At 47.7% G+C, this 27633-nt stretch overlaps 2 protein-coding genes, 2 long non-coding RNA genes and 1 pseudogene across 16 annotated transcripts in view, besides 5 other annotated features; 3 read left to right on the top strand and 2 right to left on the bottom strand.

Annotated features, from left to right (window-relative positions):
- On the bottom strand, window positions 1-2649 carry LOC124901888 (uncharacterized). Its single transcript, XR_007060824.1, has 2 exons — window positions 2077-2649; window positions 1-1607 (listed from the first exon to the last, which is right to left on the bottom strand). It is a non-coding gene; the product is annotated as an uncharacterized LOC124901888 (long non-coding RNA).
- Window positions 720-1129: a silencer, noted in NCBI's record as "silent region_18937". NCBI's record gives its function as "represses an Ori minimal core promoter by ATAC-STARR-seq in GM12878 lymphoblastoid cells {active_cell/tissue: GM12878}" and the evidence as "EXISTENCE:reporter gene assay evidence [ECO:0000049][PMID:35858748]".
- Window positions 720-1559: a biological region, named in NCBI's record as "H3K27ac hESC enhancer GRCh37_chr8:11627369-11627869".
- On the top strand, window positions 909-18544 carry NEIL2 (nei like DNA glycosylase 2). 11 transcript variants are annotated; one of them, NR_146181.2, is made up of 6 exons: window positions 909-990; window positions 1373-1534; window positions 2645-2789; window positions 10797-11721; window positions 14402-14598; window positions 17162-18544. NR_146181.2 is itself a non-coding variant. In NM_001349442.2 (6 exons), the coding sequence occupies exons 3-6, from the start codon at window positions 2647-2649 to the stop codon at window positions 17470-17472; spliced, it is 999 nt and encodes a 332-aa protein (NP_001336371.1). In that variant the 5' UTR covers window positions 909-990; window positions 1373-1534; window positions 2645-2646; the 3' UTR covers window positions 17473-18544. The 11 variants fall into 11 exon arrangements, 8 of the variants coding, with proteins under 8 accessions (NP_001336371.1, NP_001336369.1, NP_659480.1 ...); NM_001349442.2 differs by having other exon boundaries at window positions 2645-2784; window positions 10797-11149; NR_146180.2 differs by lacking the exon at window positions 1373-1534 and having other exon boundaries at window positions 2645-2784.
- Window positions 1059-1559: an enhancer, noted in NCBI's record as "H3K27ac hESC enhancer chr8:11627369-11627869 (GRCh37/hg19 assembly coordinates)". NCBI's record gives its function as "activates a minimal SCP1, AML or CMV promoter by ChIP-STARR-seq in primed H9 embryonic stem cells {active_cell/tissue: H9 hESC(primed)}" and the evidence as "EXISTENCE:reporter gene assay evidence [ECO:0000049][PMID:30033119]".
- Window positions 1170-1299: a silencer, noted in NCBI's record as "silent region_18938". NCBI's record gives its function as "represses an Ori minimal core promoter by ATAC-STARR-seq in GM12878 lymphoblastoid cells {active_cell/tissue: GM12878}" and the evidence as "EXISTENCE:reporter gene assay evidence [ECO:0000049][PMID:35858748]".
- Window positions 18417-27633, bottom strand: part of LOC105379243 (uncharacterized) — a 14138-nt gene continuing 4921 nt past the window's right edge. Inside the window, exons 2-3 of the long non-coding RNA XR_948962.4 lie at window positions 18999-19266; window positions 18417-18504 (exon numbers count right to left, since the gene is read on the bottom strand). This is a non-coding gene — a long non-coding RNA (uncharacterized LOC105379243). The remainder of the gene's footprint in view (window positions 18505-18998; window positions 19267-27633) is intronic.
- SUB1P1 (SUB1 pseudogene 1) lies at window positions 21151-22484 on the top strand (annotated as a pseudogene).
- Window positions 26439-26733: an enhancer, noted in NCBI's record as "tiled region #11637; HepG2 Activating DNase matched - State 18:Pol2, and K562 Activating DNase unmatched - State 8:EnhW". NCBI's record gives its function as "activates a minimal TATA promoter and a strong SV40 promoter by Sharpr-MPRA in HepG2 cells, with weaker activation in K562 cells {active_cell/tissue: HepG2 | K562}" and the evidence as "EXISTENCE:reporter gene assay evidence [ECO:0000049][PMID:27701403]".
- The window catches only part of FDFT1 (farnesyl-diphosphate farnesyltransferase 1), a 43717-nt gene continuing 42864 nt past the window's right edge, over window positions 26781-27633 (top strand). For all 3 annotated transcript variants that reach the window (NM_001287742.2, NM_001287743.2, NM_001287744.2), the window contains exon 1: window positions 26781-27210. The gene's annotated coding sequence lies outside the window, so the exon portion shown is untranslated. The remainder of the gene's footprint in view (window positions 27211-27633) is intronic.

A 27633-nucleotide genomic window follows, 5' to 3' on the forward strand; every position in this document is an offset into this window, starting at 1 on the left:
TATCTTTAAACAGCCTATTGTTTTATCTCTTTTATTCTATGAAATAAAAAATTTAATACACAAATACTTTAAGCAAAATTTGCTTATAGTAAAAATTCAAGTAATAAAATTCAAATAATAGAAAGCAAAAAAATCCCACCCGTTCAACATTTCACGAGTCTTGAACACCTGTTTCCTTTGCACCCGACTTCATTAGGCTCGGAGGCCAAGCAGAACCCACAGAAAGGCTTGCCATTGTGGGAACACCCAGGCTGTCCCATTCACACACCCATTGACTTTTCCCTATAACTGTCTCCTTGAGACAAGAAATGTTCCAAAAGGGCCGGGTGCGGTGGCTCACGCCTGTAATCCCACCACTTTGGGAGGCCGAGGAGGGCGGCTCACCTGAGATCAGGAGTTCAAGACCAGCCTGGCCAACATGGTGAAACCCGGTCTCTACTAAAAATACAAAAATTAGCCGGGCGCCAGTAATCCCAGCTACTCGGGAGGCTGAGGCAGGAGAATGGCTTAAGCCCAGGAGGCGGAGGTTGCAGTGAGCCGAGATCGCGCCACTGCACTCCAGCCTGGGTGACACAGCGAGACTATCTCCCCCCGCAAAAAAAAAAAGTTTCCAAGAGCGTCTCTCCAATGTTAGTCCCAGCCTGCACCCTTCTTCCATCCCTGCTTTCACTCGCGACCCTCTAATGCAGCCCTGCCTCCAGCGACCCCCGGGATGGAACCCCTCGCCCACCCACAAAAGAGCAGCCTCGACCTAGACCCACTTTCCAGGGAATGAGCCCTGCGCCTGCGCGCACCCCGCCACCCCCTCCAGGCCGGAGTCCACGCCCACTTGGGGGAGGAGCCCCGCAGCCTCCACCTACAGGGGCGTCCCCTAAGGGGACGGAGGCCGCATGGGCCGCCGAGCCGGGAAATCTCCGCCCCCAGCTGGAGCGGCTGTGCGGGCTGCGTAGCGGTGCTGGGTCGGGCCGACGTGCCACCCACCCGGAGCCGGTGAGTGCAGCCGCCCGCCCTCCGGTAGATCTGCGGCCTGGCGGAGAAGTCGGGAGGGGACAGGAAGGGAGGGCGGGCCCCGGGCCCTCCTCCGTCTCAGCCGCCTGCGGAGGTGCTGCCCACGCCTGGAGGCCCCCACTGACCCTCAGACCCGCGTCTGCGCCCCTCTCCCCGCACCCCGAGGCAGAGTTGGGAAAGCAGTGGTCTTAGACCCCCCACCTCGGGCACTCGGAAGAGAACGGCGGAGACAACCCCTCCTCTTCCCTGGCTGGCGCAGCGCCAGCCTCGAGCTCCTCGGTAGCCCCCGGGCAGGGAGGGCCGGAGGGTGGGCGCGGCATCTTCAGCGACTCTTCGAAGTCCCTTCCGCGTCTCATCTTTCAAGGCTGTTGCAGAGGCGGCTTGCTTCCCACCTGTCCATCTCCATAAAAATCCCTAAACGAAACATGCCCACGTGTCCGGAGATTTTCAGGACTTGGTGCATTTCAGATGAAGGCTTTTCCAGAAGCTTCCCCGTAGAAGAGGATCAGGCATCCAACTGGTTAAGGTCAGCAGCGTTTGGCACGTCTCCTTCCAGCCTGGCGGTTTTGTCAGGATTCCCTGGGGAGTGTCTGGAAAGCCTGATGAGGGGAAATAGTACATCTCAGCGAATCGGCACCAGCGAGTGTAAGATGCGCGTTATTGAATGTGCTGCTGCCGAATATGAGAATGCCGAGATTGTGAGCCGTCACCATTTCTTAGATTTTAAAAGTATTCTAAAATGTTTTTTAGAATCACTGAAATATAATAGCTACCCCCTGCCCGATATCTACTTAGTTCTTTTCGATTTTCATCATAACTTATAGAGAGGCTGGTGCAGGAACAGGTGGTTAGGCAGCTGCCCCGGGTGAGGCTGGGAGTCTCCTCTGCCCGAACAGCCCGGGTGTACACCACTCAGACTGCCTCATGTAGGCGGCTGTCAGTGGACTGGGATGATTTGGGGGCAGGGAGAGTAGAGGTGGCCCTGGGAGCCCTGCGTGGTGATTAGAACAGAACCACAGCTGTTTCTCGGGGATCAGAGATAACTGTCTGTAGCTATGCCGGGCTTACCTACGTGGCTGGGGGTCTCACTTATGATTCTGAGCTCTGTCTGCGTGTTGGTCGTTTCATGCACACCTCCCCCACGCTAGTGGTCGGCGGTCCTGGAGGGCGGCATCTGGTCCCTTCAAAAGTGGGAAATAAGTCGGCAGCAGTGGGTCAGAATGGCTGTTTTTTGAGAGCGGGAGCAGGGGGACAGAGAAAGTCAGGAGGTGTTAGAGGTTCACAGTCCAGGCAAAAAGTAACAAAGGCCAGCTCCTGGTGTGGCAGGTGCCGCTCAGGAATAAAGTGGATGGTGCCCATGATGTGCTGCCTAGCACACTGTTGGTGCTTAATAAGTGTTTGCTGCATGAAGAAAGGTAAGAGGGGCTGCCTTTCCTGCTACGTTTCCCACACCCTGCCACAGCTGCTCTTCTCTATGATCTGACCGCCTCCCAGCCACACTCCCTTTTTGGCCATGCTTGCTCTTAAAGTTAGTTGGCAGCAAAAATGGCGGCATGGAGGATGCTTGGCACCTGTTAAAGATGCTAGAGATAAATGAGCTAAGTCGGTGGCCTCTTTTGCCCATTTCTGCCCACAGGGATGCCAGAAGGGCCGTTGGTGAGGAAATTTCACCATTTGGTCTCCCCCTTTGTGGGTCAGCAGGTGGTCAAGACAGGGGGCAGCAGTAAGAAGCTACAGCCCGCCAGCCTGCAGTCTCTGTGGCTCCAGGACACCCAGGTGAGGTAATACTCCTCTGAAGGGTTGGCTCTGTCGCCCATCCTGCGCCTCCCCTAGGATCTATCCCCATATGTCTCAGGGTGTCACTTCCCTGAGTCCGGAACCACCAAGCTCGGACTCCATGCAGCTCCCTCTTTCAGTCTCACGTGTCTCAGCCAGAAGTAGATATCGCTGTGGACTGTAGAACTGTAAAGAACACGTGTGGATGAGCTGGAGACCCCGATTCAGAGGGTCTGGAGTGCTCCTATTCTCTCCGGCCGCAGCTGATGGGCACCTTTGGCTGGGAACTGTGTTCTATTCCCCTGAGCCAGTGGAGAATTAAGGACAGAGCAGAACCGGCTGGGCACGGTGGCTCGCACCTGTAATCCCAGCACTTTGGGAGGCCGAGGCGGGTGGATCACTAGGTCAGGAGTTCAAGACCAGCCTGGCTAACATGATGAAACCCCGTCTCTACTAAAAATGCAAAAATTGGCTGGGTGTGGTGGTGGGCGCCTGTAATCCCAGCTGCTCGGGAAGCTGAGGCAGGAGAATTGCTTGAACCCGGGAGGCCGAGATTGCAGTGAGATGAGATTGTGCTACTGCACTCCAGCCTGGGTGACAGAGTGAGACTCCGTCTCAAAAAAAAGAAAAGAAAAGAGCAGAACCTTCAGATCTAGGTTCAAACCAGCTCATCCTTCCAGGGGCTCACGGAGCTCCCTGTTTTCTCACCACTGCCTCCCTCTCTAGCCTTCTTATCCTGCCCCAAACCTGTCTTCTGATCGATGAAACTGCCTTTGGCTCTTCTTAGTGTTTCTGTCCGTGGTTTTCACTTGCTGCCCCCTGCTCAAGCACTTCTTCCTTTTTCTCCCAACTCTGCCCCTGTTCCCTCAATTTATAATGGTAATTCCTGGTCTTCCAGCTTCCACTTGGCCATTGCATCCTCAGAGAAGCCTGCCCTGTCTGCTTTAGGTGGGAAGGAGACTCCATCTCTGTGCTTCCAGGACATCATGTACTTCCTCCTGTTCTTCCCTTTTTACTGAGTTGTTCTGCTTGTTGAGGGGAGAGGACAGATGCAGAGGGCAGGGGCTGCTCCTCGCCAGTATTGTGCCCCCAGCACTTAGCTGAGTGCCGGCACGTAGGAAGCACGGGTGGTGCCTGTGGATGAGCTCACGCGCTCTGCTGCTGCTTAGCCGTGTGCTCTTAAGCATGTTCATCTCATAGCTCTTTCTTCTATTGTAGAATGGAGATAAGCCATTGACCTCTTAAAGTTGTTGTTTTAAGTAGAGTTTATGCCTGGCACATAACGGGTACTCCATAAGTACTAGTTCCCTTTCTTCCATCTTGCCCTCACCCCCCACCCCCGCAACACACACACACAGAGGTTTTAAAACCGTTGTTAGTTAGAACTGGAAGAGATCCTGTAGCCCTGTACCCATAGTTGATTCCTTTGGAGACTGAGGCTCGGAGAAGGGAGTACTTAGCCCAAGCTCAGGTGGCTGGCAAGGAACAGGTGAGAGCACGGGGTCCCATGGCCTCCAGGACTGTGGCCTCTTTGTACACACTGTCCTTCGAGGTTTGCAGGGGCAGAATTGTCTCTTGTCTCTGGATCCCCAGCACTTACCAGGGTGTCTGCCACAGAGCTGGCTGTAAGAGAATATTTCCCAAGTGGATGGGTGGGCAGATGGATGTGCGGTGAAGGAACCCGTAGACGGGACTGGGAGCTGCTTTCCCAGTAAACCAAGCAGAAAACCATGTTGCAGGGAACCTAAGGTTGCAGGGAACCTTCGGGGCTGCCTGGCAGTGCTTTGAAGTGAGCGCCCTTCCCTGCTTCTCCCTGTCGGCGGGTCCCTGACCCTAGGAACTTAGAACTGAATTGAGAACATACGGCTTGTATCGACACAGGCCACACTATTAAGCTATGCTAAATGGGGAGGGCAGAGCACATCATAAAGGCCCAGGTAATGACCCTGACAGGAAGAGGTCCCGGTGGCCTGGAGAAGATGTGCAGGAGGTAGGACTTGAGTTGGGCCTTGAAGGCTGGAGGATTTCAGTGGACTGAAGAGGGAGGAAAGGGCATTTCAGGCTTGAGAAGCAGTTACAGGCGGGCCGATGGAGGTGGAGTGAGCAGGGTGAGTTGATGAGGCAGGAGGGAGCTTGGCTGCACTCTGTGCCATCTGTTTGTCTGGCACATCCTTTTCTTGTCAGCTCTCCATTTTCTATATAGGAGTTGTGTTGGATTACTCATAACAGACTCAGAAAAATGGCTACTCTAGCTCATGGTTTTCTCCTCCTCCAGTAATGGAACAGTCCAGGGTGGTATAGGAGCAACATTGGAAACCAAGCTCCTTCTACTCTCCCCTTCCAAGACTGGGTAATTTATGAAGGAAAGAGGTTTAATGGACTCACAGTTCTGCATGGCTGGGGAGGCCTCGCAATTATGGCAGTAGGCGAAGGGGAAACAAAGGCACATCCTACATGGTGGAAGGCAAGAGAGCTTGTGCAGGGGAATTACCATTTATAAAACCGTCAGGCCAGGTGCAGTGGCTCATGCCTGTAATCCCAGCACTTTGGGAGGCAGAGGTGGGCAGGTCGCCTGAGGTCAGGAGTTTGAGACCAGCCTGGCCAACATGTTAAACCCCATCTCTACTAAAGATGCACAAATTAGCTGGGCATGGTGGTGGGCGCCTGTAATCCCAGCTACTTGGGAGGCTGAGGCAGGAGAATTGCTTGAACCCAGGAGACAGAGGTTGCAGTGAGCTGAGATCGCACCTGCGCTCCAGCCTCAGCAACAGAGTGAGACTCCATCTGAAAAACAACAACAACAAAAAACCCATCAGATCTCTTGAGACTTATTTACTATCACGAGAACAGCCCCCATGATTCAATTACCTCCCACTGGGTACCTCCCACCAGGTCCGTCCCATAACACATGGGAATCATGGGAGTTATATTATTCCACCCCCAGGCCCTTCCAAAGCACAAGTCCTCACATTTCAAAACCAATCATGCCTTCCCAACAGTCCCCAAAAGTCTTAATTCATTTCAGCATTAATTTAATAGGCCACAGTCCAAAGTCTCATCTGAGACAAGGCAGGTTGCTTCCACCTATGAGCCTGTAAAATCAAAAGCAAGTTAGTTACTTCCTAGATACAATGGGGGTACAGGCATTGGGTAAATACACCTGTTTCAAATGGGAGAAATTGGCCAAAACGAAGGGGCTACAGGCCCCATGCAAGTCTGAAATCCAGTGAGGCAGTCAAATCTTAAAGCTCCAAAATGATCTTTGACTCCATGTCTCTCATCCAGGGCACGCTGATGCAAGAGGTAGACTCCCACGGCCTTGGGCAGCTCTGCCTCTGTGGCTTTGGTAGGGTACAGTCCGTCATCCTGGCTGCTTTCACAGGCTGGCATTGAGTGTCTGTGTGTTTTCCAGGGCAGGGTGCAAGCTGTCAGTAGATCTACCATTCTGGGGTCTGGAGGACAGTGGCCCTCTTCTCACAGCTCTACTAGGCAGTGCCCCAGTGGGAACTCTGCCTTGGGGCTCTAACCCCGTCTTTTCCTTCTGCACTGCCCTAGCAGAGGTTCTCAATGAGGGCTCTGCCCCTGCAGCACACCTCTGCCTGGACATCCCGTTGTTTCTATACATCCTCAGAAATCTAGGTGGAGGTTTCCAAACCTCCATTCTTAACTTCTGTGCACCTGCAGGCTCAACACCACATGTGAACCGCCAAGGCTTGGGGCTTGTACCCTCTGAAGCAGCAGCCTGGGTTGTACATTGGCGCTTTTTAGCCATGGCTGGAGGGGCTAGGACACAGGGCACCAAGTCCCTAGGCTGCACACAGCAGAGGGGGCCCTGGATCTGGCCCAGGAAACCATTTTTTCCTTCTAGGTGTCTGGACCTGTGATGGGAGGGGCTGCTGTGAAGGTCTCTGACATGCTCTGGAGACATTTTCCTTATTGGCTTGGTGGTTAGCATTTGACTCCTAGTTACTTATGCAAATTTCTGCAGCCAGCTTGAATTTCTCCCCAGAAAATGGGTTTTTCTTTTCTACTGCATCATCAGGCTGCAAATTTTTCAAACTTCTGTGCTCTGCTTCCTCTTGAATGCTTTGCCACTTAGAAATTTCTTTCACCAGATGCCATAATCATGTCTCTCAAGTTCAAATTTCCATAGATCTCTAGGGCAGGGGCAAAATGCCACCAGTCTCTTAGCACAGCAAGAATCACCTTTACTCTAGTTCCCAGCAAGTTCCTCATCTCCATCTGAGACCACTTCAGCCTGTACCTTATTGTCCATATCACTATCAGCATTTTGATCAAAGCCATTCAACAAGTATCTAGGAAGTTCCAAACTTTCCCACATTTTCCTGTCTTCTTCTGAGCCCTCCAGACTGTTTCAACCTCTGCCTGTTACCCAGTTCCAAAGTTGCTTCCGCATTTTTAGATGTCTTTACAGCAATGCCCCCCTCCCAATACCAGTTTACAGTATTAGTCTGTTCTCATGCTGCTGATAAAGACATAACCAAGACTTGGTAATTTATAAAGGGAAGAGGTTTAGTGGACTCACAATTCCACATGTCTGGGGAGTCCTCATAATCATGGTGGAAGGCAAAGGAGAAGCAAAGGCATGTCTTACATGGCAGCAGGCAAGAAAGAGCATGTGCAGGGGAACTGCCCTTTATAAAACCATCAGATCTTGTGAGACTTACTGTTGTGGGAACAGCATGGGAAAAAACCCATCCCCATGATTCAGTTATCTCCCACCGGGTCCCCCCCACAACACGTGGGAATTATGGGAGCTAAAATTCAAGATGAGATTTGGGTGGAGACACAGCCAAACCATATCACACATTTTATGGTCAGTGATGTCCAGTCATCAGTTGTTGGACACTCGGATTGTTTCAACTCTTTGACTTCTATGGATAATGCTGCTGTGGGCATTCATATGCAAGTATTGGTGTAGACGTATGTTTCCATTTCTCTTGAGAGTATTCCTAGGAGTGGAATTGCTGGACCATATAGTATGTTGAACTTTTTTAGTGTCTTCTGTAGTGTTTTCCAAGGCAGCTGCACCATTTTATCATCCCACCAGCAGTGTATGAGGACCAATCCTTCCATTTTTAACCTCTTGCCACAGCACCTGGGGCCTCCCCATCTCCAGGTCACCTGGGGTCACGATGGGTAGGTCCCCTGGGTTCTCTCTTCCTTGGGGCTCCCCTCTGCTGCAGCAGGGGTCTCTGCTCTCCCTCATCAGTTACCCTTCCTGTGCCTGTTCCTCATCTTCTGGGGGGACTTTGTATCTCCTGTCTGCTCCTCCTCTTGGTCCTGAGAGTTGAGAGCTCTTTGGTTCCTATAGCGGGTTTGTTGGGAGTAGTGCTAACAGCGCACGCCCTGGCTGCTGTGTCTGACCAGGAGCCCCTGTTCCAGTGTAGGGTTTCCACCTCTGCCTTCAGGTATGTCCCCTCAGCTGGGCACACCCTGTCTCCTCTGCCCTCCACTCTTCTTGTGAAGCCCAGCCCAGGTAACGGCCAGCTTCCCCTCATCATGTAGACTCTTCTTCCGTGTGCTACGTCTGCTTCTACCCACACTTTTCTTTTCTTTTTTTTTTGTACAGATGGGCGTTTCACTTTGTTACCCAGGCTGGTCTCGATCTCCTGGGCTCAAGCAATCCTCTCGTCTCAGCCTCCCAAAGTGCAGGGATTACAGGCATGAGCCACTGTGCCTGGCCTAGCCACACTTTTCTCTGTGCTCTTGTAGTATCTGTTTTCACAGTTGTCCCCCTCCCACCCCCACCGCCTTTTAAAAATTTTTAAAATTGTGATGAAAAACACATAACAAACTTTACTGTCTTAACCATTTTAAAGTATATAGTTCAGTCATGTTAAGTGTATTCACGTTGTCTAACAGTTTCCCTGAACTTTTTTATCTCCCCAAGCTGAGACTCCATACCTGTTGAACGCTAACTCCCCCTTTCCTCCCTCCCTGCAGCCCCTGGCAATCACCTTTCTACTTTCTGTCTCGATGAATTTTACTTCCCCAGATACCTCATATCAGTGGAATTATACAGTATTTGGAGTTTTTTTGACTGGCTTATTTCACTTAGTATAAAGTCCTCAAAGTTCACCCATGTTATAGATAAGGGAAGATTGGAGATTGTTGTAATCTAATTTTGCTGCTATTACAGAATATTTGAGACTGCATAATTTATAAGCAATGTAAGTCTATTTAGCTCACAGTTCTGGAGCCTGGAAAGTCCAAGGGCATGGCATTGGCATCTTGCCGTGTCATTTGCAATTGGCATTATTCCATTCAGGAGGCCAGAGCTCTATGGCCTAATCTCAAAGTTGCCATCTCTTACCACTGTTCCATTGGGGATTAAGTTTCCAACACATACTTTTTGAGGAACACATTGAAAGCATTGCAGAGCCTTATTCATCTGTTTGCCCTTGGAGCCTAGCACACTGCCAGGCACATTGAATAAGCTTAATTAATGATTAGTGAATTGAAGTGGCTGCAGTGTCACAGGAACCCAAAAGAGGGACAGCAGAAATTGCCATAGTTGGTATGAGGACATCCTGACCTAGACATTTTTGACCTAGTAAATGTTTTGTTCATGATGGGCATTTGACAGTTATTTTCATCAGAATTATATCAACATTGGTGAGTTTATACCAAGAAATATTTTCTGCAGCAAATTCTATTATGCCCACTTAAATCCTTGCTCAGTTTTTTTTTTTTTTTTTTTTATGTAGGTCAGTTAAACCATTTCTAATATGTGGCAGATAACAATCTGTGCTCAGATTTACAGATAAGCTATTCTGGGATTATTTCGAAAGGTAATGCTCTTTTGGGTGGAGGACTTCAAGATTAATTTGTGTACTAATTAACAAGTTAAAGATCATACCAGAACAGTGATCTTTAAGCACGGACCTGTAGTGGTCAAGAAAGTAACACAGGCATTTCCAGTATTAATGCCAGATATTTTGGTTTATACTCCTTGAAAGACTGCCTGAATTTCAGGCTGTGTAGAACTGACTCATCCTGGAATCTAGGCCTACATATTGCATATCAGGAGGTGCAATATGAAAATAAAGTCAAAGCAAGGGCCCAGGCATGGTGGCTCATGCCTGGAATCCCAACACTTTGGGAGGCCAAGACGGGCAGATCGCTTGAGGTCAGGAGTTCGAGACCAGCCTTGCTAACGTGGTGAGACGTGGTCTCTGCTAAATATACAAAAATTAGCTGGGGGTGGTGGTGTGCACCTACAGTCCCAGCTACTTGGGAAGCTGAGGCAAGAGAATCACTTGAACCCAGGAGATGGAGGCTGCAGTGAGCCAAGATGGTGCCACTACACTCCAGTCTAGGCGAGACTCCATCTGAAAAAAAAAAAAAAAAAAAAAAGACAGCAGAACATCCTTTAACACACATTTTCTATATTTATTTTCTTCTACTGAAATCATTTTCAGTGAGATGAGGTGGGTCCTTTGCCTTATACTTTTTAGAGTGGTGATCTGATTCACTGATCAATTTTTGTTTCAGTATCTAATTTTTATTGATTACAGTTTCCTTATCAAGTCCAATATGCTGGTGGAGGGGGTAGCGAGGGGTACCCAGTTTCACAGGGTGTTGTCTTTAGCTGCTCTGTATGTGTGCATTCCCACGCACCGCTTATTTCTGGCATAGAAAATGTATTACGAATGGAATGAAGGAATGACAACTTATGTTCATTTCTTAGCTACTGCATGAAAAAATTGGGAGCGATTCCCTTCAGGTATTCCAGGGTGGCCTTGCCATCTTGCATGGGTGTGTTTCACTGCCAACTAAGTCTCCTTGCTCCCAGTCACTTTGAAAACCACATGCGAACTGCTCACACCACTGGAGCAAAAGAGCAAAAGGCAGAGTCCAAAGACTTCATTTGGGAAGGCCCCCCAGGAGGGGTGAGAAGGAAGACCTTTGCAATAGGATAAATATCCGCATTCCCCAGTTCCCCTCTCTGGGTCTGTAAGGCTTGGATCTCTGTTCATTTTTTCTAGGTCCATGGAAAGAAATTATTCCTTAGATTTGATCTAGATGAAGAAATGGGGCCCCCTGGCAGCAGCCCAACACCAGAGCCTCCACAAAAAGAAGTGCAGAAGGAAGGGGCTGCGGACCCAAAGCAGGTCGGGGAGCCCAGCGGGCAGAAGACCCTTGATGGATCCTCACGGTCTGCAGAGCTCGTCCCCCAGGGCGAGGATGATTCTGAGTATTTGGAGAGAGACGCCCCTGCAGGAGATGCTGGGAGGTGGCTGCGTGTCAGCTTTGGTTTGTTTGGCAGCGTTTGGGTGAACGATTTCTCCAGAGCCAAGAAAGCCAACAAGAGGGGGGACTGGAGGGACCCTTCCCCGAGGTAATGGTGTGGCCATCTGATTTTCGTGGGCTCTGATAGTCATAGGGCCCTGCTTGGTGGGGTTTGGGACTTCAGCAGTGGGGACATACTGAGGACGTCCAGTCTGCCCCCCAGGGCCCTGCTGTCTTGGGGAGAGAGGCCACCTCTGTATCTACCTGTGATAGGAAGTAGACTGTGGTCTGCATGCAGGAGAGGGTTGTGCACCAAGAGGTGGCTGGGAGAAGGGGAGAATTTTCCCAGCAAATGTGGCACTTGAGGGGGGACTGTCCCTGAAGAACATTTTATTGCCTGACTCCTGACTAGTGTGCTTTGAATTTAGGGAGAAGATTTTCCCAGTTTTATTTTAAGTATATTGTTTGTGTGTTTATTTTTTATTGAGATATAATTAACATTCAGTAGAATGCAGATCTTAAGTATTCAGCTTGATGAGTTTTTTTGCTTTGTTTTGAGACGGAGTCTTGCTCTGTTGGCCCAGGCTGGAGTGCAGTGGCACGATCTCGCCTCACTGCAACCTCTGCCTCCCAGGTTCAACCAATTCTCCTGCCTTAGCCTCGGAGGAGCTGGGACTACAGGTGCGTGCCACCACACCGGCTAACTTTTGTATTTTTAATAGAGACGGGGTTTCACCATGTTGGACAGGCTGGCTGGTCTGGAACTCCTGGCCTCAAGCGATCGCCTACCTCCGCCTCCCAAAGTGCTGGGATTACAGGCGTGAGCCACCATGCTTGGCCCCAGTTTTTATAATCTATGAATGTTGAGATCAACATTTTATGCATAAGACTCTATCTAGGTTTAGGATATGTCCTCAGTGTCAATTCCCAGAGGAGTAATTGCTGGTCAGAGGGAATGCATATTCTTAGGGCTGTACATTTTTCTGGCCTTAGGAAAGTGCTAGCTGAGCTGAAATCTCATGAATGTTAGGTCGTTTGTGTACTTCTTATCAATGTAATGAAGCTTTTGCACAGAAAGTCTGTTTGTTTTTGTGACATGTGTTGCCAGTATTGTTTCAAGTCTGTCCTCTGTCCTTTGATTGTGCTTATGATGTCTCTTGGCATTTGGGATTTTAAATTTTTATATCATCAACGGTGGGTATTTTTCTTGGTTGCTTGTAGGTTTCCCCTTTTGCTAAAAAAAGGCCCCTTCTGCCCCCAGAGAAAGTCACATGCCTTCTATTTTCTGAAGTTTTATAACTTGTAAAAATGTTTAGAAGTGTAGTCTTTATTTGTGTGGCCTGACGTAGGTACCATAGGATGCTATGGGCTGTAAAAATAACTCGGAGTAGCTTCTGTGGTCTGGAGATTTTGGGCTCACATGACTGGAAGTTCAGAAGGAGGGTGGGCTTTGGGGCTGCCGTTCCAAGGTTCTGGCTTCCTGTTTTTGTGATTCTCCTGGCTTTGCACTTTCCACGCATTGGTTTTCTCCTTAGACCAGCAGCAAGAGGCTACTGCAGCTCCAGGATTTTATTCACACCAAAAAATCCAGAAGAAGAGCAGATCATTTTTAGAAGTTCAGATGAGGAAACTTTCCTTAGAACCCCCAGCAAACCTGTCATCATCAGGAGCCTGCCCTTTGCTGAGTCCTGGATTAGTCACCAGCTGGAGGCATTGAAATGTGCTCCCCGAAGGAGGCTCACCCCTAGGTTTTCAGATATAGTGCCGTAGAGTGAATGTGTATCATGCCATTATTTTTAAATCTCTTTTTACCTGGTTAGGTCTCTTTTCTCATGTACCTGTTTTATGTTTACTTTGCTTTGTCTCTTTTTTCTTTAATAGGCTGGCCTGAGTTTATCTACTTTGTTGGTCTTTGAAATAAATACTATTAGCTTGCCAGGTATAATACTGACTCCTGTCTGTAATCCCAGCACTTTGGGAGGCTGAGACAGGAGGATCACTTGAGCCCAGGAGTAAGAGACTAGCCTGGGCAACATAGTGAAGACCCTGTTTGTACAAAAAAATAAAATAAAATTAACCGGGTGTGGGGGTGCATACCTGTAGTCCCAGTTACTTGGGAGGCTGAAGTGGGAGGGTAGTTTGAGCCAGGGAGGTTGAGACTGCAGTGAGCTGTGATTGTGCCACTATACTCCAGCCTGGGCAACAGAGCAAGACCCTATTTCCAAATAAATAAATAAATAAAATTAGCTTTATATATCCTTTCTATATGGAAAGGGTATATGGAGTATTGAAAATATTAGGTTGGGTGTGGTGGCTCACACCTGTAATCCCAGCACTTTACGAGGCCGAGGCAGGTGGATCACCTGACGTCAGGAGTTCGAGACCAGCCTGGCCAACATGATGAAACCCCCATCTCTACTAAAAGTACAAAAAGTTAGCCAGGTGTGGTGGTATGCACCTGTAATCCCAGCTACTCGGGAGGCTGAGGCAGGAGAATCGCTTGAACCTGGGAGGAAGAGATTGCAGTGAGCCAAGATAGTGCCACTGCACTCCCGCTTGGGTGACAAGAATGAAACTCCATCTCAAAAAAAACACATTATAAGTCAAAAAAGCATTTAATATGCCTAGCCTACCAAACATCTGGGCTTAGCCTAACCTACCTTATATGTGCTCAGAACAATTACATTAGCCTACAGTTGGGCAAAATCATCTAACACAAAGCTTGTTCTATAAAATGTTGAATATCTCACGTAATTTATTGAATGCTGTACTGAAAATGAAGGTTTTATAGGTACTCAAAGTATGGCTTTTACTGAGTGTGCATTGATTTTGTACCATTATAAAATCAAAAATTAAAAGTGAACCATTGTAAGTCAGGGATGTCTGTATGTGTGTATGATCCAGCCACAGAGTGTGCTCTGACTACGTTGTGGTAACGATGTGGGGATGTGTGTATGTGTGTATGATCCAGCCACAGAGTGTGCTTGGACTATATTGTAACGATGTGGGGATGTGTGTATGTGTGTATGATCCAGCCACAGAGTGTGCTCTATGTTGTGGTAACGATGTGGGGATGTGTGTATGTGTGTATGATCCAGCCACAGAGTGTCCTCTGACTATGTTGTGGTAATGATGTGGGGATGTGTGTATGTGTGCATGATCCAGCCACAGAGTGTGCTCTGACTATACTGTGGTAACGATGTGGGGATGTCTGTATGTGTGTATGATCCAGCCACAGAGTGTGCTCTATGTTGTGGTAACGATGTGGGGATGTGTGTATGTGTGTATGACCCAGCCACAGGGTGTGCTCTGACTATACTGTGGTAACGATGTGTACATATGACCTGTTCTTTCTTCCCAGGTTGGTCCTGCACTTTGGTGGTGGTGGCTTCCTGGCATTTTATAATTGTCAGTTGTCTTGGAGCTCTTCCCCAGTGGTCACACCCACCTGTGACATCCTGTCTGAGAAGTTCCATCGAGGACAAGCCTTAGAAGCTCTAGGCCAGGCTCAGCCTGTCTGCTATACACTGCTGGACCAGAGATACTTCTCAGGGCTAGGTATGACTCATGGGAAAGGGGTGAGTCCACAGAGTTGCTTCATGGAAAAGTCGGTCCTGTGGGAGTCAGAAGACCTGAGGGCCACCCTAGTTGTGCCAGTGCTGTTGGTTTTGAGGTGCCACTTGCTCAATCTCCTTTCTTTTACTTCCCTTGTTTTTAGACTGAGGGCATTAGATCAGGCAGTTTTTAACTTGTCTCTCTGCTTCAGAATCCACACCCTAACTGTGTTATCAGTTGTGAGCCCTCTGCCAGCAGCGTTGGAGCATCACCTCCTAAAGGGTGGGGTCATGTCTCCGGCACCTCTGTACCCTCCACTGCACAGTGCAGCGCCTGCACGTAGGAGGTGCCTGACCTGTGTCTGTAGGAACTGAAGTCGTGCAGGCTGCTAACAGAGCAGTGAGCGCGTGTTCTAAGGGATGCTGCTCTTGGGTGGATGGAGCTTCCTGCCCTGGCCAGGGCACAGAGATGACTCAGTCTACACTGGGTTCTTATGCGACGCGAGTGAAGAAGCTGTTTCCCTCTCTCTATTGCAGTGGCGTGAGCAGTGAAACTGTGAGCATTTCAGGATAGGGAGAAGTGCTGAACAATTTCAAAAATACATATAACAGCTAATTAGCGGGACTATGACAGCGTGGCGTTCTTATTACTCACAGTAGGGGAATAATTGTGCCCAAAATTGGTTGCTGAAGCAATCAGGCAGGTTGGTGGTGACAGAGTCATCTCCATATCCAACATGTGGCCTTGCTGCCTGCTCACCACCCTTCACGAGGGTCGGAGGAGGCCAGGTGGTACAGCAGGCACTTGCCTTGCATTTTCATGTTAGGACCATGGGAGTCCCTGTGCACTCAGGAGCGAAGAGCCGTCGGAAGTGGCTTTTTGGGTATATATGGCAAGAGCTAACAGTAACAGTAGTAATTAATAACGGCCAGTGTTTTCCAAGCAGCTCTGATGTGCCAGGCACATGTTCTTGTCCTTACTGCTGTCCTGTAGGATGGTTATAGTGCTTTTCCCTTCCTTCAGATGAGGAAACTGAAGCAGAGAACACATCGCTAGTAAATGGTGCAGCTGAGATGTGAATCCAGGTGTTTTGTCAATGAATTCTGGAGAGACTGATGTGTGTAATGAGGAGTGTGACTATGAGGCTCTTGGAAACAGCAGGAATTTCCTTCACCCACTCACTCCAAACACACAGACACTCACTTGAGCTCTGTCACGCTCACCACCTCTCCTTAAGGAGATCATTGTATAATGGCCCAGCAAGCATGGACTCAGTCCACTGTGGGTTACTAAAGATTGCAATGAATGCCTGGTGGAGCTGAAAGAGTATGGTTGGAACATTCCCAAGAGAGTTACTGATTCTGGAAGGAGGGATCGAGGCTGGCTTCACAGAGAATGAGGCAGGAGTAGAAAAATAATAAGATAACAGCTCCCGAAACACTTTCTACATAACAAGCATTATGCTTGGTATTTCATTTATTTTATTTTTTGACACAGGGTCTCTCTCTGTCACCCAGGCCAGAGTGCAGTGGCACAATCACAACCCACTGCAGCCTCAACCTCTGTGGCTCAAGCGATCCTCCCACCTTAGCCTCCTGAGTAGGTGAGACTACAGGTGCATGACATCACGCCTCACTAATTTTTAAAATTTTTGTAGAGACAAGAAGCTCTCACTGTGTTGCCCAGGCTGGTCTTGAACTTGTGGGCTTAAATGATCCTCCTGCCTCTGCCTCCCAAAGTGCTGGGATTACAGGCGTGTGCCACTGTGCCTAGCTATGCTTGACATTTTGTTTTTAATTTAAAAAAAAATTTTTTTTGAGACAGGGTCTTGCCATGTTGCCCAGGCTGGAGTGCAGTGGCACAATCTCAGATTACTGCAAGCCCCACCTCCCAGGTTTAAGCTAGTCTCCTACCTCAGCCACCTGAGTAGCTGCGATTACAGGCAGGTGCCACCATGCCTGGCTAATTTTTGTATTTTTGGTAGAGATGGGGTTTCACCATGTTGTCCAGGCTGATCTTGAACTCCTGGCCTCAAGTGATTCACCCGCCTCTGCCTCCTAAAGTGCTGGGATTACAGGAATGCGCCAGGCCAACATTTTAAATAATAACAACAGTTAATACTTATTGAGTACTCTACATACCAGCCACTGTGCTCAGCGTCTTTTGGTGAATTCTCATTTAATGCTCACAAAAACCAGGTAAGCCATCCCTGCCTTACAGATAAGGAAACTGCAGCTAATTGAGGCTGAGGAGCTTGTCAGGGTCACGTGGGTAGGATCTGCTTGAGCTGCGATTCAAGTGCAGGCAGTCAGATGCCCGATCCGTTTTTGATAGCCTGTTTGCCATGACGGGCCATGCATGAGTTTCATTTCATCTTCACAGCAACCTTAAAGGTAGGAATTGTCAACTCCATTTTACAGACAGAGAAATGGAGTCAGAGATCGCAGACCCGTCTAGGGTCCCCCAGGACATGGAAGAGCTGATTTCTGCCTTGTTAACTTTGTGGGTGGTTTCATCATGCCATGTGTCCTTTGTCCTTCCCTTACCTTCCCCCGCTTTATTTCAGGGAACATCATTAAGAATGAAGCCTTGTACAGAGCTGGGATCCATCCCCTTTCTCTCGGTTCAGTCCTGAGTGCCTCGCGTCGGGAGGTCCTGGTGGATCACGTGGTGGAGTTCAGTACAGCCTGGCTGCAGGGCAAGTTCCAAGGCAGACCGCAGCACACACAGGTCTACCAGAAAGAACAGTGCCCTGCTGGCCACCAGGTCATGAAGGAGGCGTTTGGGCCCGAAGATGGGTTACAGAGGCTCACCTGGTGGTGCCCGCAGTGCCAGCCCCAGTTGTCAGAGGAGCCAGAGCAGTGCCAGTTCTCCTAAGGAGCTGGTGGTGCTCCTCACGGAACCTTGCCGCTTGGGGAACCTGACGTCTAAGTGTCCAGAAAGGAGGATGTGGGCAGGGACGGGGTACAGAGGATAGTGTGGGTCAGAGGTGCCAGTAGTATAATATTCGTCTCCCTGGAGTTATGTTGAAGGCAGAGTTTTCATAGGGTTAGATTTTTTTTATCCTTTTCTAGTTCAGTTAATTCATCCTGTTGAATTGCACCATCGTGAAAGATGGGAAAAATCGTGATGATGGGTAAGGGGAAAACTTCCCGGAAGGCAATGGGGCAAGGAAAAAGAAAGCCTATGGGAAATGGCTGTGCTCCCAACATAGCTTTGCAGATGATGTGGGTTTTTTTTTTTTTTTTGGTTGTTTGTTTTGAGAGAGAGTCTTGCTCTGTCTCCCTGGCTAGGGTGTGGTGGTGTGATCTTGGCTCACGGCAGCCTTGCCCTCCCTGGCTCAAGCAGTCTTCATCTCAGCCTCCAGAGTAGCTGGGACTACAGGCATGTGATATGATGCTCGGCTGATTTTTGTTTACTTTTTAGAGAGATGGGGTCTTGCCATATTTGCCAGGCTGGTTTGAACTCCTACAACTCAAGCATTCCTCCCACCTTGGTCTCCCAAAATGTTGGGACCACGGGTGTGAGCCACCGCGCCCAGCTAGCTCCTGTGTTTTGTTTTTGTTTTGTAACTTTGGTTGATGTTAAGGCCCTCCATTTTGGAAAGCAGGAAAACAGGATTTTTTTTTTTTTATCTTGTTCCCTGGAGGATCCAGGGATGAGGATAGAGTGGCCTGAGAGCAGTGCTTGGATTCAGCCTCCTGCTGGGTCCTTCTGCTGGATACAGGCACCAAGAGGCGGTCGTGGAGCAGGGAGCTGCGCCTTCCTGGGGTGCCCGGTGGTGTGTAGAGAAAAGCTGCTTGTTTACTCCTTAAGTCAATGTATTGGTGACTGTTGATTTGTTGAACAATTCAGGAATCAAGGGCTGTGGAGAAACTCCCTCATGTTGTTGGCAACAGGTGAATGAACCTAGAGCGGTGACATGAAAATAAAGCTCACTGTTACTCGCTGTTTTTGTCTTTATTTGGTAGTAAAAGGTCTTTAAATACCCAACTATTCATGGAGGTGGCCTCCAGGGCTTACTGGGTTAGCTGAGGAATCTACATAAAAGTAGCAGTGAGAGGAGGTGAGCGCACACCTGCTCCTCTGCCCCAGCTGAACAGAGATGGACTTGACCTCTGTCACCACGATGTCTGCACAGAGATTTGTGAGAGTGAAGCTGAAAACACTGGCTGATATTTCTGGCTTTCCTTTATTCTTCTCTTTTTTTTTTTTTTTTTTTTGAGACAGGGTCTCACTCTGTTGCCCAGGCTGGAGTACAGTGGTGTGACCATGGCTCACTGCAGCCTTGACCTCCCGGGCTCAGGTGATCCTTCCACCTCAGCCGCCCTAGTAGCTGGGACTACAGGTGTGCACCACTATGCCTGGCTAATTTTTGTATTTTTGTATAGAGGGAGACTCACCATGTTGTCCCAGGTGGTCTCGAACTGCAGGCCTGAAGTGATCCACTTGCTTTGGCCTCCCAAAATGCTGGGATAACAGGCATGAGTCACCATGCCCGGCCTCCTCTGTCTTAAATGACTGACAATTGTCAACAGTGCAGAGAGCCACTTGATGGCAGACCAAGTCTCTTGTACTGAAGGCTCCTCCCGCACGGGGTGCTCTCCCTGTGTCGAGGGCTGTGTCTCCCCCACCCAGTTCTCACCACTTCGCTTACTTCTTGCACATGATCTACAAAACAACACATGAAGACAGGTCCTCAACCTTGTTGTCCTTAAGTTATAGATGAGAAAACGGAAGAGTCTAGAGAGGCTGAGGACCTCGCCTAAGCTCACACAGTTAACAAGGGCCAGAGCCACACCGGAGTCAGCTCTGGCTGCCGAAATGTGCCCTAGGGGAGGTGACTCAAACAGCAGACTTATTTCTTATAGTTCTGGAGCCTGGGAAGTCCAAGATCAAGGGCTGGCTGACTCAGTTCCTCTGCTAGATCACACTGGGCATTAGGGCTTTATATGTGAATTTTAAGGGAACACAATTCAGTCTGTTACAGGCTACAAAGGAATTTGGGAGAAAATCCTCAACTTCTCAAAGGTCGTCTCCTCCCACTCTTGAAAAAACATACAATAGCTTATAAAAACCTCACTTTCCCTTCATGAAGGCCTGGATTTAAGAAAAAATGAATAAAACCTCAATTCCAGAATAGACGATGGGAAAATATTGAATAATGGATTTATTTGTATTTAGAAGGGTAGAAGAGCATACTCATGCACTTGTGTGTATATATGCACATATATAAAATATGTAACATCAAAGAATGTGGGCCAGGCGTGGTGGCTTATGCCTGTAATCCCAGCACTTTGGGAGGCAAGGCAGGTGGATAACCTGAGGTCAGGAGTTTGAGACCAGCCTGGCCAACGTGGTGAAACCCTGTCTCTACTAAAAATACAAAATTCAACCTGGCGTGGTGGTGGGCGCCTGTAATCCCGGTTACTTGGGAGGCTGAGGCAAGATAATAGCTTTAACTGGGGAGGAAGAGGTTGCAGTGAGCCCAGATCACGCCACTGCAGTCCAGCCTGGGCCACAGAGTGAGACTCTATCTCAAAAAAAAAGTGTGTGTGTGTGTGTACTGAAATGCACCTTTCTAACCCATATGGTTAGGACAAGACTAGGACTCCAGGCATGAGCTGCTGCAAATGAGGCTGAGACCATTTCCTATGAGTGGGTGTCTATAGGACAGTGGGTCCAGGGGCTCCCCAGACATAGTGGGGACTGAATACCATGGCCTGCGTGTGGTCTGCTCCAACTGGGATTGGTAGAAAGGAAAAGGCGGTTGTGGCGCCGAAAAGGAAGTTGTTGACAAAGAAGCAATGGGGCGGCTGTAGCTGTAGGAGTGGAGAGGGTGAGAGGCGCGGGCCACGGCGGCACTGGGCTCTGTTGGTGTCAGCTGGCCAACAGTGTGGGCACCGGGGCAAGGAGGGAACACTGGAGCGGCTCAGCCGGCACTGAGCTGAGCAGTGGCAGAGGCCACCGCCTGGCAGATGGGGAAAGGCAGAGTGGGTGAGCGGGCACTGTGTATCACCCCCTGAGGCGTGCTGAGCTCGAGCCTGTGACCACCTGTGCTGTGGAGATGGAGACAATGTAATTGGGAAGCAGGCCTGGCCTCCCCCTGCCACAGGGACAGGCTGGTCTTAGAGGCACCGATGGGGCAGCTTTCCTAGTAGGAGTCATGATGAGCTACAGAGGCTCACAGGGTGTCATGGAGCACGAGGAAAGGTGCAGGGAATCCTAGAGAAAGTCTTGTGTTTAAGGAGCAAGACAGGAAGGAGAAACCAGTCAGTGAGATGGGTCAAATGTAAGTGGAGAAAGGAACGTCCAAGGAGAAGCGGGCTGTCGCTATGGTGAATCATGCAGAGATGAAGGCGGGACGATGGAGCAGTGGCCCCTTGGGCTTGGCAGGTGATCAAATTCGAGGTCATGATGACCTTCAGGAGAGCACTGTGTGCAGAGTGCCAGCAGTGGGAAGGGACCGGGTGGGAGGGAGGACGTGGAATGTGAGGGTGGTCTCCCCTGCAGGAAGTTTGGCCTTGGAGGGGATGAAAATGAAGGGCAGGGAGGAGTCGCGAGCGAACAAGCAGGAGGGTGTTCGACTGCTAGAGCTGAGCTAAGCGATGCCTAAATCAAAGGAACTTGTTTCTTCAAGCTCTTCTGGCAGTGATCCTGACAGTGAGGTTGACAAAAAGTTAAAGAGGAAAAAGCAAGTTGCTCCAGAAAAACCTGTAAAGAAGCAAAAGACAGGTGAAACTTCGAGAGCTCTGTCATCTTCTAAACAGAGCGGCAGCAGCAGAGATGATAACAAGTTTCAGATTGGGAAAATGAGGTACGTTAGCGTTGGAGATTTTAAAGGGAAAGTGCTAATTGATACTAGAGAATATTGGATGGATCCTGAAGGCGAAATGAAACCAGGAAGAAAAGGTATTGCTTTAAATCCAGAACAATGGAGCCAGCTGAAGGAACAGATTTCTGTCATTGATGATGCAGTAAGAAAACTGTAAAATCCGAGTCATACAAACAAAACCTGTACTTTTCTAGTTGTTTTAATCTGTCTTTTTACATTGGCTTTTGTTTTCTAAATGTTGTTCTCCAAGCAATTGTATGTTTGGATTGCAGAAGAATTTGTAAGATGAACTTTTTTTTAATGTGCATTATTAAAAATGTTGAGTGAAGCAATTGTCACCTTTATTAAGGAGGATTGCTTTGTGCCCACCACCTAGTGTAAAATAAAATCGAGCAATACAGTCTTAAATGTTGTGGCCTTTTTTGATCATAAGAGTTGGTACTGTTTAAGGCCAAAAGTAATAGTTTTTATAAATCTTTTAGTCTCAACTCAGCTTTTACAATAAAAAGGATTTGTATTGCATTGAGTTTATAAACTTTTGGTTTGTGAAATCCATATTTGATCTGTTTTCTTCCAATCAAATGTTTATTTGGAAAGTCAGTGAAACTGTCAAAATGTTACCTCAATAAGATATTTATAATTGTATGAGAACTACAATCACCAAATCGACTGTCTTCAGTATTAGCAGATCTAGTTTGATAAACAAATGGCTTGTGTGAAAACCGAGCAGGTGTTTGTCATTACCCATAGTGTTCTGTGTAGTTATTGCTTAGTCTGCAGAAAATAATGACCTAGATGAGATGTCTGACTTGCTTTCACTTATTAAACATGTTCACCATGGGATGATGTCTGTAACGTCAGATATTGTTAAACTAGACTAGGATTTAATAAAAATTGTGAAAGCTTACTGGCCTAACAGTTTATTTTATAATATTGAGTATGAATTATATGTAGCCAGAGATGTCAATAAGGCTTACTGTCGGTAGGTAATATGGTTAGTTTGTAGGGAAAAGAGCGTATGAGCACATGCTTGTGTATTTCGGCCTTTGCCCCAGTAGATCAGACAATGACATTCTAGTCTTGATGTTACTAAGTTTTAGCAGACACTAGCAAGTGGTTTGTATTTAACCACAGCCATGAAGCAGACAGACTGAGGCACAGATTTTAGTGGCTTTGTGGCAATAAATAGGGCATGGTGTGCCTTAGGAAAAGAATGTTTATAAAGGGAACTATAACTGAAATTAAAGGAGGCGGCAGTGAAGAGGAAATAATTATCTTCTATCTAAATGATATACATATGATATTTTGAGATTTTTATAACTGCAGTGGAACACAATTCTGGGTAGAGTAGAAAAAGGAAAGGTTTAAAGACATATAAAAGATTCTTGTTGACAATTTATTTTTGGTAGCAAATCTCAAATGATTACCTGCTATTAAGGGCTGCCATATCAGAGTTTTGCACTATTTTGCTACCAAGTTTGATTCGTACATCTAAAACATTTTGTAGTTGATTGTCAAGGACTTAATTTGAAAATCATTTGCCAGGCCACATAGTTATCAATTTTCTTTCTAGCAGCTATTCTGTTGTATTTTTAAAACATTTTTTAGATGACTTTTTAAAGTCTATTTAGCAGTAACCTTAAGAGGTGCATATTAGTAAAATAAATCTCTTCTTGTCATTTAGCCTTCATCAAATAATAGGTACCAATGTATTAAAAATATGTGGTTTTTTTTTTTTTGGCAGCCCTTTGAACCAGAGTAGGTTCAGAGAAACTCCCAAAATTTGTATTTTAGACACGTCATGCTTGATTGGTAACTTCCCTCCTTTTTTGGGGAACATGTTTGTGTCCTATTAACTTAATTGGATAGATTTTTAAGTATTTCTTATTTTTGGCACACAGGATGGTTAGAATACAGAACTTTGATTTTTGGTGTAGATACGGAGAGAATGATGGGTAAATTTCCTAGGTTTATATGAATTTAGGGGGTGTACGCATTTTGAAACGCTATTAACAGATGGTGCTGAAATCTATTGCCTACATGTTTTCTAGCTCTTTAGCATTATGTTAATGAAGCCTCCATATAAGGAGTGTTTCTCTGGCACAGTTGGTAAGTTGACTGCTAACTTCATTGAAATGTGTTACTGGATATGCAGTATACTGAAATTATTGATCTTTTTTGTGTATAGGAAAAGAGAAGTGGGTTAAAAGAAGCAAATTAACTTGTTCTGAAAAGAAAGTATAGATTAATTTTGTTTTCTGTTTAAATTTTATCTCCTTGGTAAGACTTTTTTTCCAAGGCAGAAAGCTTGGCATTTTTAGGCATAGATCCCTTACCTTATAATGTCAAAATGAATTTAATTCCAGTACTCAGGTTTTTCCCTTTAACAGACTCTATGTGTATCAGGGCTTTCTAATGGGTTTTTCCTCTTTGTTTTTAAAATGTGAGCAGCTTTTGACCAATTTCCAGTGCTCTTAGCATTTTACTTAAAGAACAACCACTAAAAAAGAAAAACTTCGTAATTTGCTTGTCTTTTGCTTTGCTTTATTAATGTCTAAGAACTTAAGAATACTCCTACCTCATTAGCTACTCAAGATGCTGTGACGACCAAATCTATTCTACATAATGTGTTTAGAAACAAAGACTTGGGTGAAAAATGAAATAAGTATATTCTGACTTGGCTATTGAGGGTAAAAAGAAAGAATTAAGTATTAAGTGTTCCTTGTAGGAGATATGTTAGTAGAATACCATAAAAGTTTGAAAATTTTAAAAAGTACTAATATTTAGGTATCCTGAAATTATTTGCAGTTCATTTTTTATGGAAATTAATCCAGTGAATCACGCAAAAGTTTTTTTTTTAAATGGTGTTTTTCCAGATCAACTCTAGGGTAAACATTCACATAATCACAAATATGCAATTCTGTAATTGTGAAATGCCTGTATGTTTTGTTTTCATACATCTTCCTTGGAGATGTCTGAATATAATACTCCATCTATGAATATTTTAAATGTTGAAATAAAAGTAAGAAATGTGAAAAAAAAAAATGAAGGCTAGGGAGGAGAGCAAAGGATGAATATAACGTGAAAATGTATGTATAGTTAGTTCAGGGGAGAAAACCAGGAGAGAGAGAGAGAAAGCTCACACCAGAGCTGTCGCTTAAAGATGACTGGACTAGGGTGGGAAGAGAAAGAATAACAAGTCCCTAGAAAATTTGCTAAAAGTGAGGCCTTTGGGGTACAGAAGAGTGGGCAGGTTTGTAACGGCTGTAAGGGAAACGTGATCACTTCGGGTTAGAGGGAAGGGCTGTAGAGCCACATGGCAAGCCCAGGACACCTGTGCATTTCCTGACTTTCCCTGACAGCATCCAGTGGCTTAGGATAAAAAATGGAGACATTGGATGTTGGATTACCCCACAATGGACATGGACGTTTGTCAGGGTAAGGATGGTGGGAGACCTAAGGGACAAGGAGAAACATTATTTTTTTAAAATTACAGACGTCAAAAGAGTCACACAATACAAAGTTTATAGAGTGAAACATGAAAGAATGACCTTCATCCCTGCCTTAGGAGGATCTCTGGAGCAGCTTTGCTCATAGTGTCTCTGACTGCAGTGACTTACGGAAAAAACTAATAATTGGGAAAATACTAGTACCTAACAGTTGAGACTAAGTGTTGTGGTTGGTGCCGTTGGAACTCCATGGAACATGTTCCTCATGGAAGAGGTGGGGAAGGGGGAATGTGGGCAGGTAACAACCCACACTCCCATGCTTCTCTCCCAGTGAGTGAGATCTAATTCACCCTGGCAGTAGGTCCTCAGTGGGTTTCAGGTTGGTTCCAAAAGGAGGTAGGGCCTGGTGCAGTGGCTCACGCCTGTAATCCCAGCACTTTGGGAGGCTGAGGCAGGAGGATTGCTTGACCCCGGGAGTTCGAGACCAGCCTGGGCAACATAGCGAGACCCCATCTCTACAAAAAATACAAAAATTAGCCAGGCATGGTGATGCATACCTGTAGTCCCAGCTACTAGGGAGGTTGAGGTGGAAGGATCACTTGAGCCCAGGAGGTCAAGGCTGCAGTGAGCCGAGATGATGTCACTGTACTCCAGTCTGGGTGACAGAGTAAGACCTTGTCTCAAAAATAAAAAAATAAAAATTTTAAATAAATACATAAAAGGAGGTAGGCACGATATGTTGTAAGTGGACTGAAAGAGAGGAGATGGTACAGAGACAGCAGGGTGGAGTGTGACCAGTGGCGGTTATGCCTTTTGTGCCTGTGCCTGTTGCCTGGAAGGAGGAGAGGTTTTCGCTTGACAGGACTGTGAAGGAGGGCACGGAAATATGGGGGGTCGGGGGTGAATCTAGGCTTCCATCTTAGTAAGGAGAGGCGGGATACGTGTGAGAGGCGGCAGCATGCTGGCAGCCCTGCAGCCCTTGCTCGCTCTCGGTGCCTCCTCGGCCTCGGCGCCCATTCTGGCCGCGCTTGAGGAGCCCTTCAGCCCACCGCTGCACCGTGGGAGCCCTTCTCTGGGCTGGCCTAGTCCGGAGCCGGCTCCCTCGGCTTGCGGGGAGGTGTGGAGTGAGAGGCACTGGCGGGAACCAGGGCTGCGCGCGGCGCTTGCGGGCCAGCGCAAGTTCCGGGTGGGCGTGGGCTCGGCGGGCCGCACTTGGAGCGGGCGGCCGGCCCCGCCGGCCAGGGCAGTGAGGGGCTTAGCACCTGGGCCAGCAGCCGCCGTGCTTGATTTCTCAACAGGCCTTAGCTGCCTCCCCGCGGGGCAGGGCTCGGGACCTGCAGCCCGCCATGCCTGAGCCTCCCCCGCGCCGCCGCCGTGGGCTCCTGCGCGGCCCAAGCCTCCCCGACGAGCGCCACCCCCTGTTCCACGGCGCCCAGTCCCGTCGACCGCCCAAGAGCTGAGGAGTGCGGGCGGATGGCACGGGAGTGGCAGGCAGCTCCACCTGCGGCCCTGCGCGGGATCCACTGGGTGAAGCCAGCTGGGCTCCTGAGTCTGGTGGGGACTTGGAGAATATTTATGTCTAGCTAAGGGATTGTAAATACACCAATCAGCACTCTGTATCTAGCTCAAGGTTTGTAAACACACCAATCAGCACCCTGTGTCTAGCTCAGAGTTTGTAAATACACCAATGGACACTCTGTATCTAGCTAATCTAGTGGGGAGGTGGAGACCTTTTATGTCTAGCTCAGGGATTGTAACCGCACCAATCAGCACCCTGTCAAAACGGACAAATCAGCTCTCTGTAAAACAGACCAATCGGCTTTCTGTAAAATGGACCAATCAGCAGGGTGTGGGTGGGGCCAGATAAGAGCATAAAAGCGGGCTGCCTTAAAAAAAACGGTGGCAACACGCTGGGTTTGCTTTACAACGCTTGGGAAGCTTTGTTGTTTGCAATAAATTTTAATACTTGTCTGTTTCGGTCTGCACTGCCTTTATGAGCTGTAACACTCACAGGGTAGGTTTGCAGCTTCACTCCTGAAGCCAGTAAGACAACGAACCCACTGGGAGAAACAAACAACTCCAGACGCGCCGACTTAAGAGCTGTAATACTCGCTGTGACGGTCTGCAGCTTCACTCCTGAGCCAGCGAGACCACGAACCCACCAGAAGGAAGAAACTCCGAACACATCTGAACATCAGAAGGAACAGACTCCGGACACGCCGCCTTTAAGAACTGTAACACTCACCGCGAGGGTGGGCGGTTTCATTCCTGAAGTCAGTGAGACCAAGAACCAACCAATTCCGGACACACTTGGACTCGACAGACTCTAAGGTGAAAGATTGGTTTAGTTCATGAGTTGGGGTTTTGTGATAACTGACATTGTGAAAAACGGGGGATTTAACATAGATTTTCACAGTGGCTTTAGACATTTCATAAATATTTCTTAAATGCCTCCTAAATGCTAGGATTTGGCAATACAAGGCTAAACAAAATACAAAGCCAAATCCTACTGTAATGGGAGTATGTAAAGTGTTTCTGTTAATGGAAAAAGTGCTGTGTGAGGATGGGGGTTAAGTGACTGGACTGTTTGTGTTCTGAGCTTTCTAGGACTGATCTGATTACGCTGTAAACACTCCGCCAGATACTGTGTAGGCCCAGCCCTTGTGCTTGAGGGGGCCACTGTGAGGTGGCGAAACAGACAAGAGATTATTAGAATACAGAAAGTTCAGGTTGGGAGGAACCACTGAACATGGT

The sequence above is a fragment of the Homo sapiens genome, chromosome 8 (assembly GCF_000001405.40).
Source record: "Homo sapiens chromosome 8, GRCh38.p14 Primary Assembly".
Lineage (NCBI taxonomy): Eukaryota > Metazoa > Chordata > Mammalia > Primates > Hominidae > Homo > Homo sapiens.

Excerpts from the sequence above, each read along its gene's own strand:
- NEIL2 (NM_145043.4), top strand. The coding sequence starts at position 2,647 with ATGCCAGAAGGGCCGTTGGTGAGGAAATTTCACCATTTGGTCTCCCCC. Across the intron at positions 2,785-10,796 it reads TGTGGCTCCAGGACACCCAG|GTCCATGGAAAGAAATTATT; the intron begins GTGAGGTAATAC and ends CATTTTTTCTAG. Across the intron at positions 11,150-14,401 it reads TGGAGGGACCCTTCCCCGAG|GTTGGTCCTGCACTTTGGTG; the intron begins GTAATGGTGTGG and ends CTTTCTTCCCAG.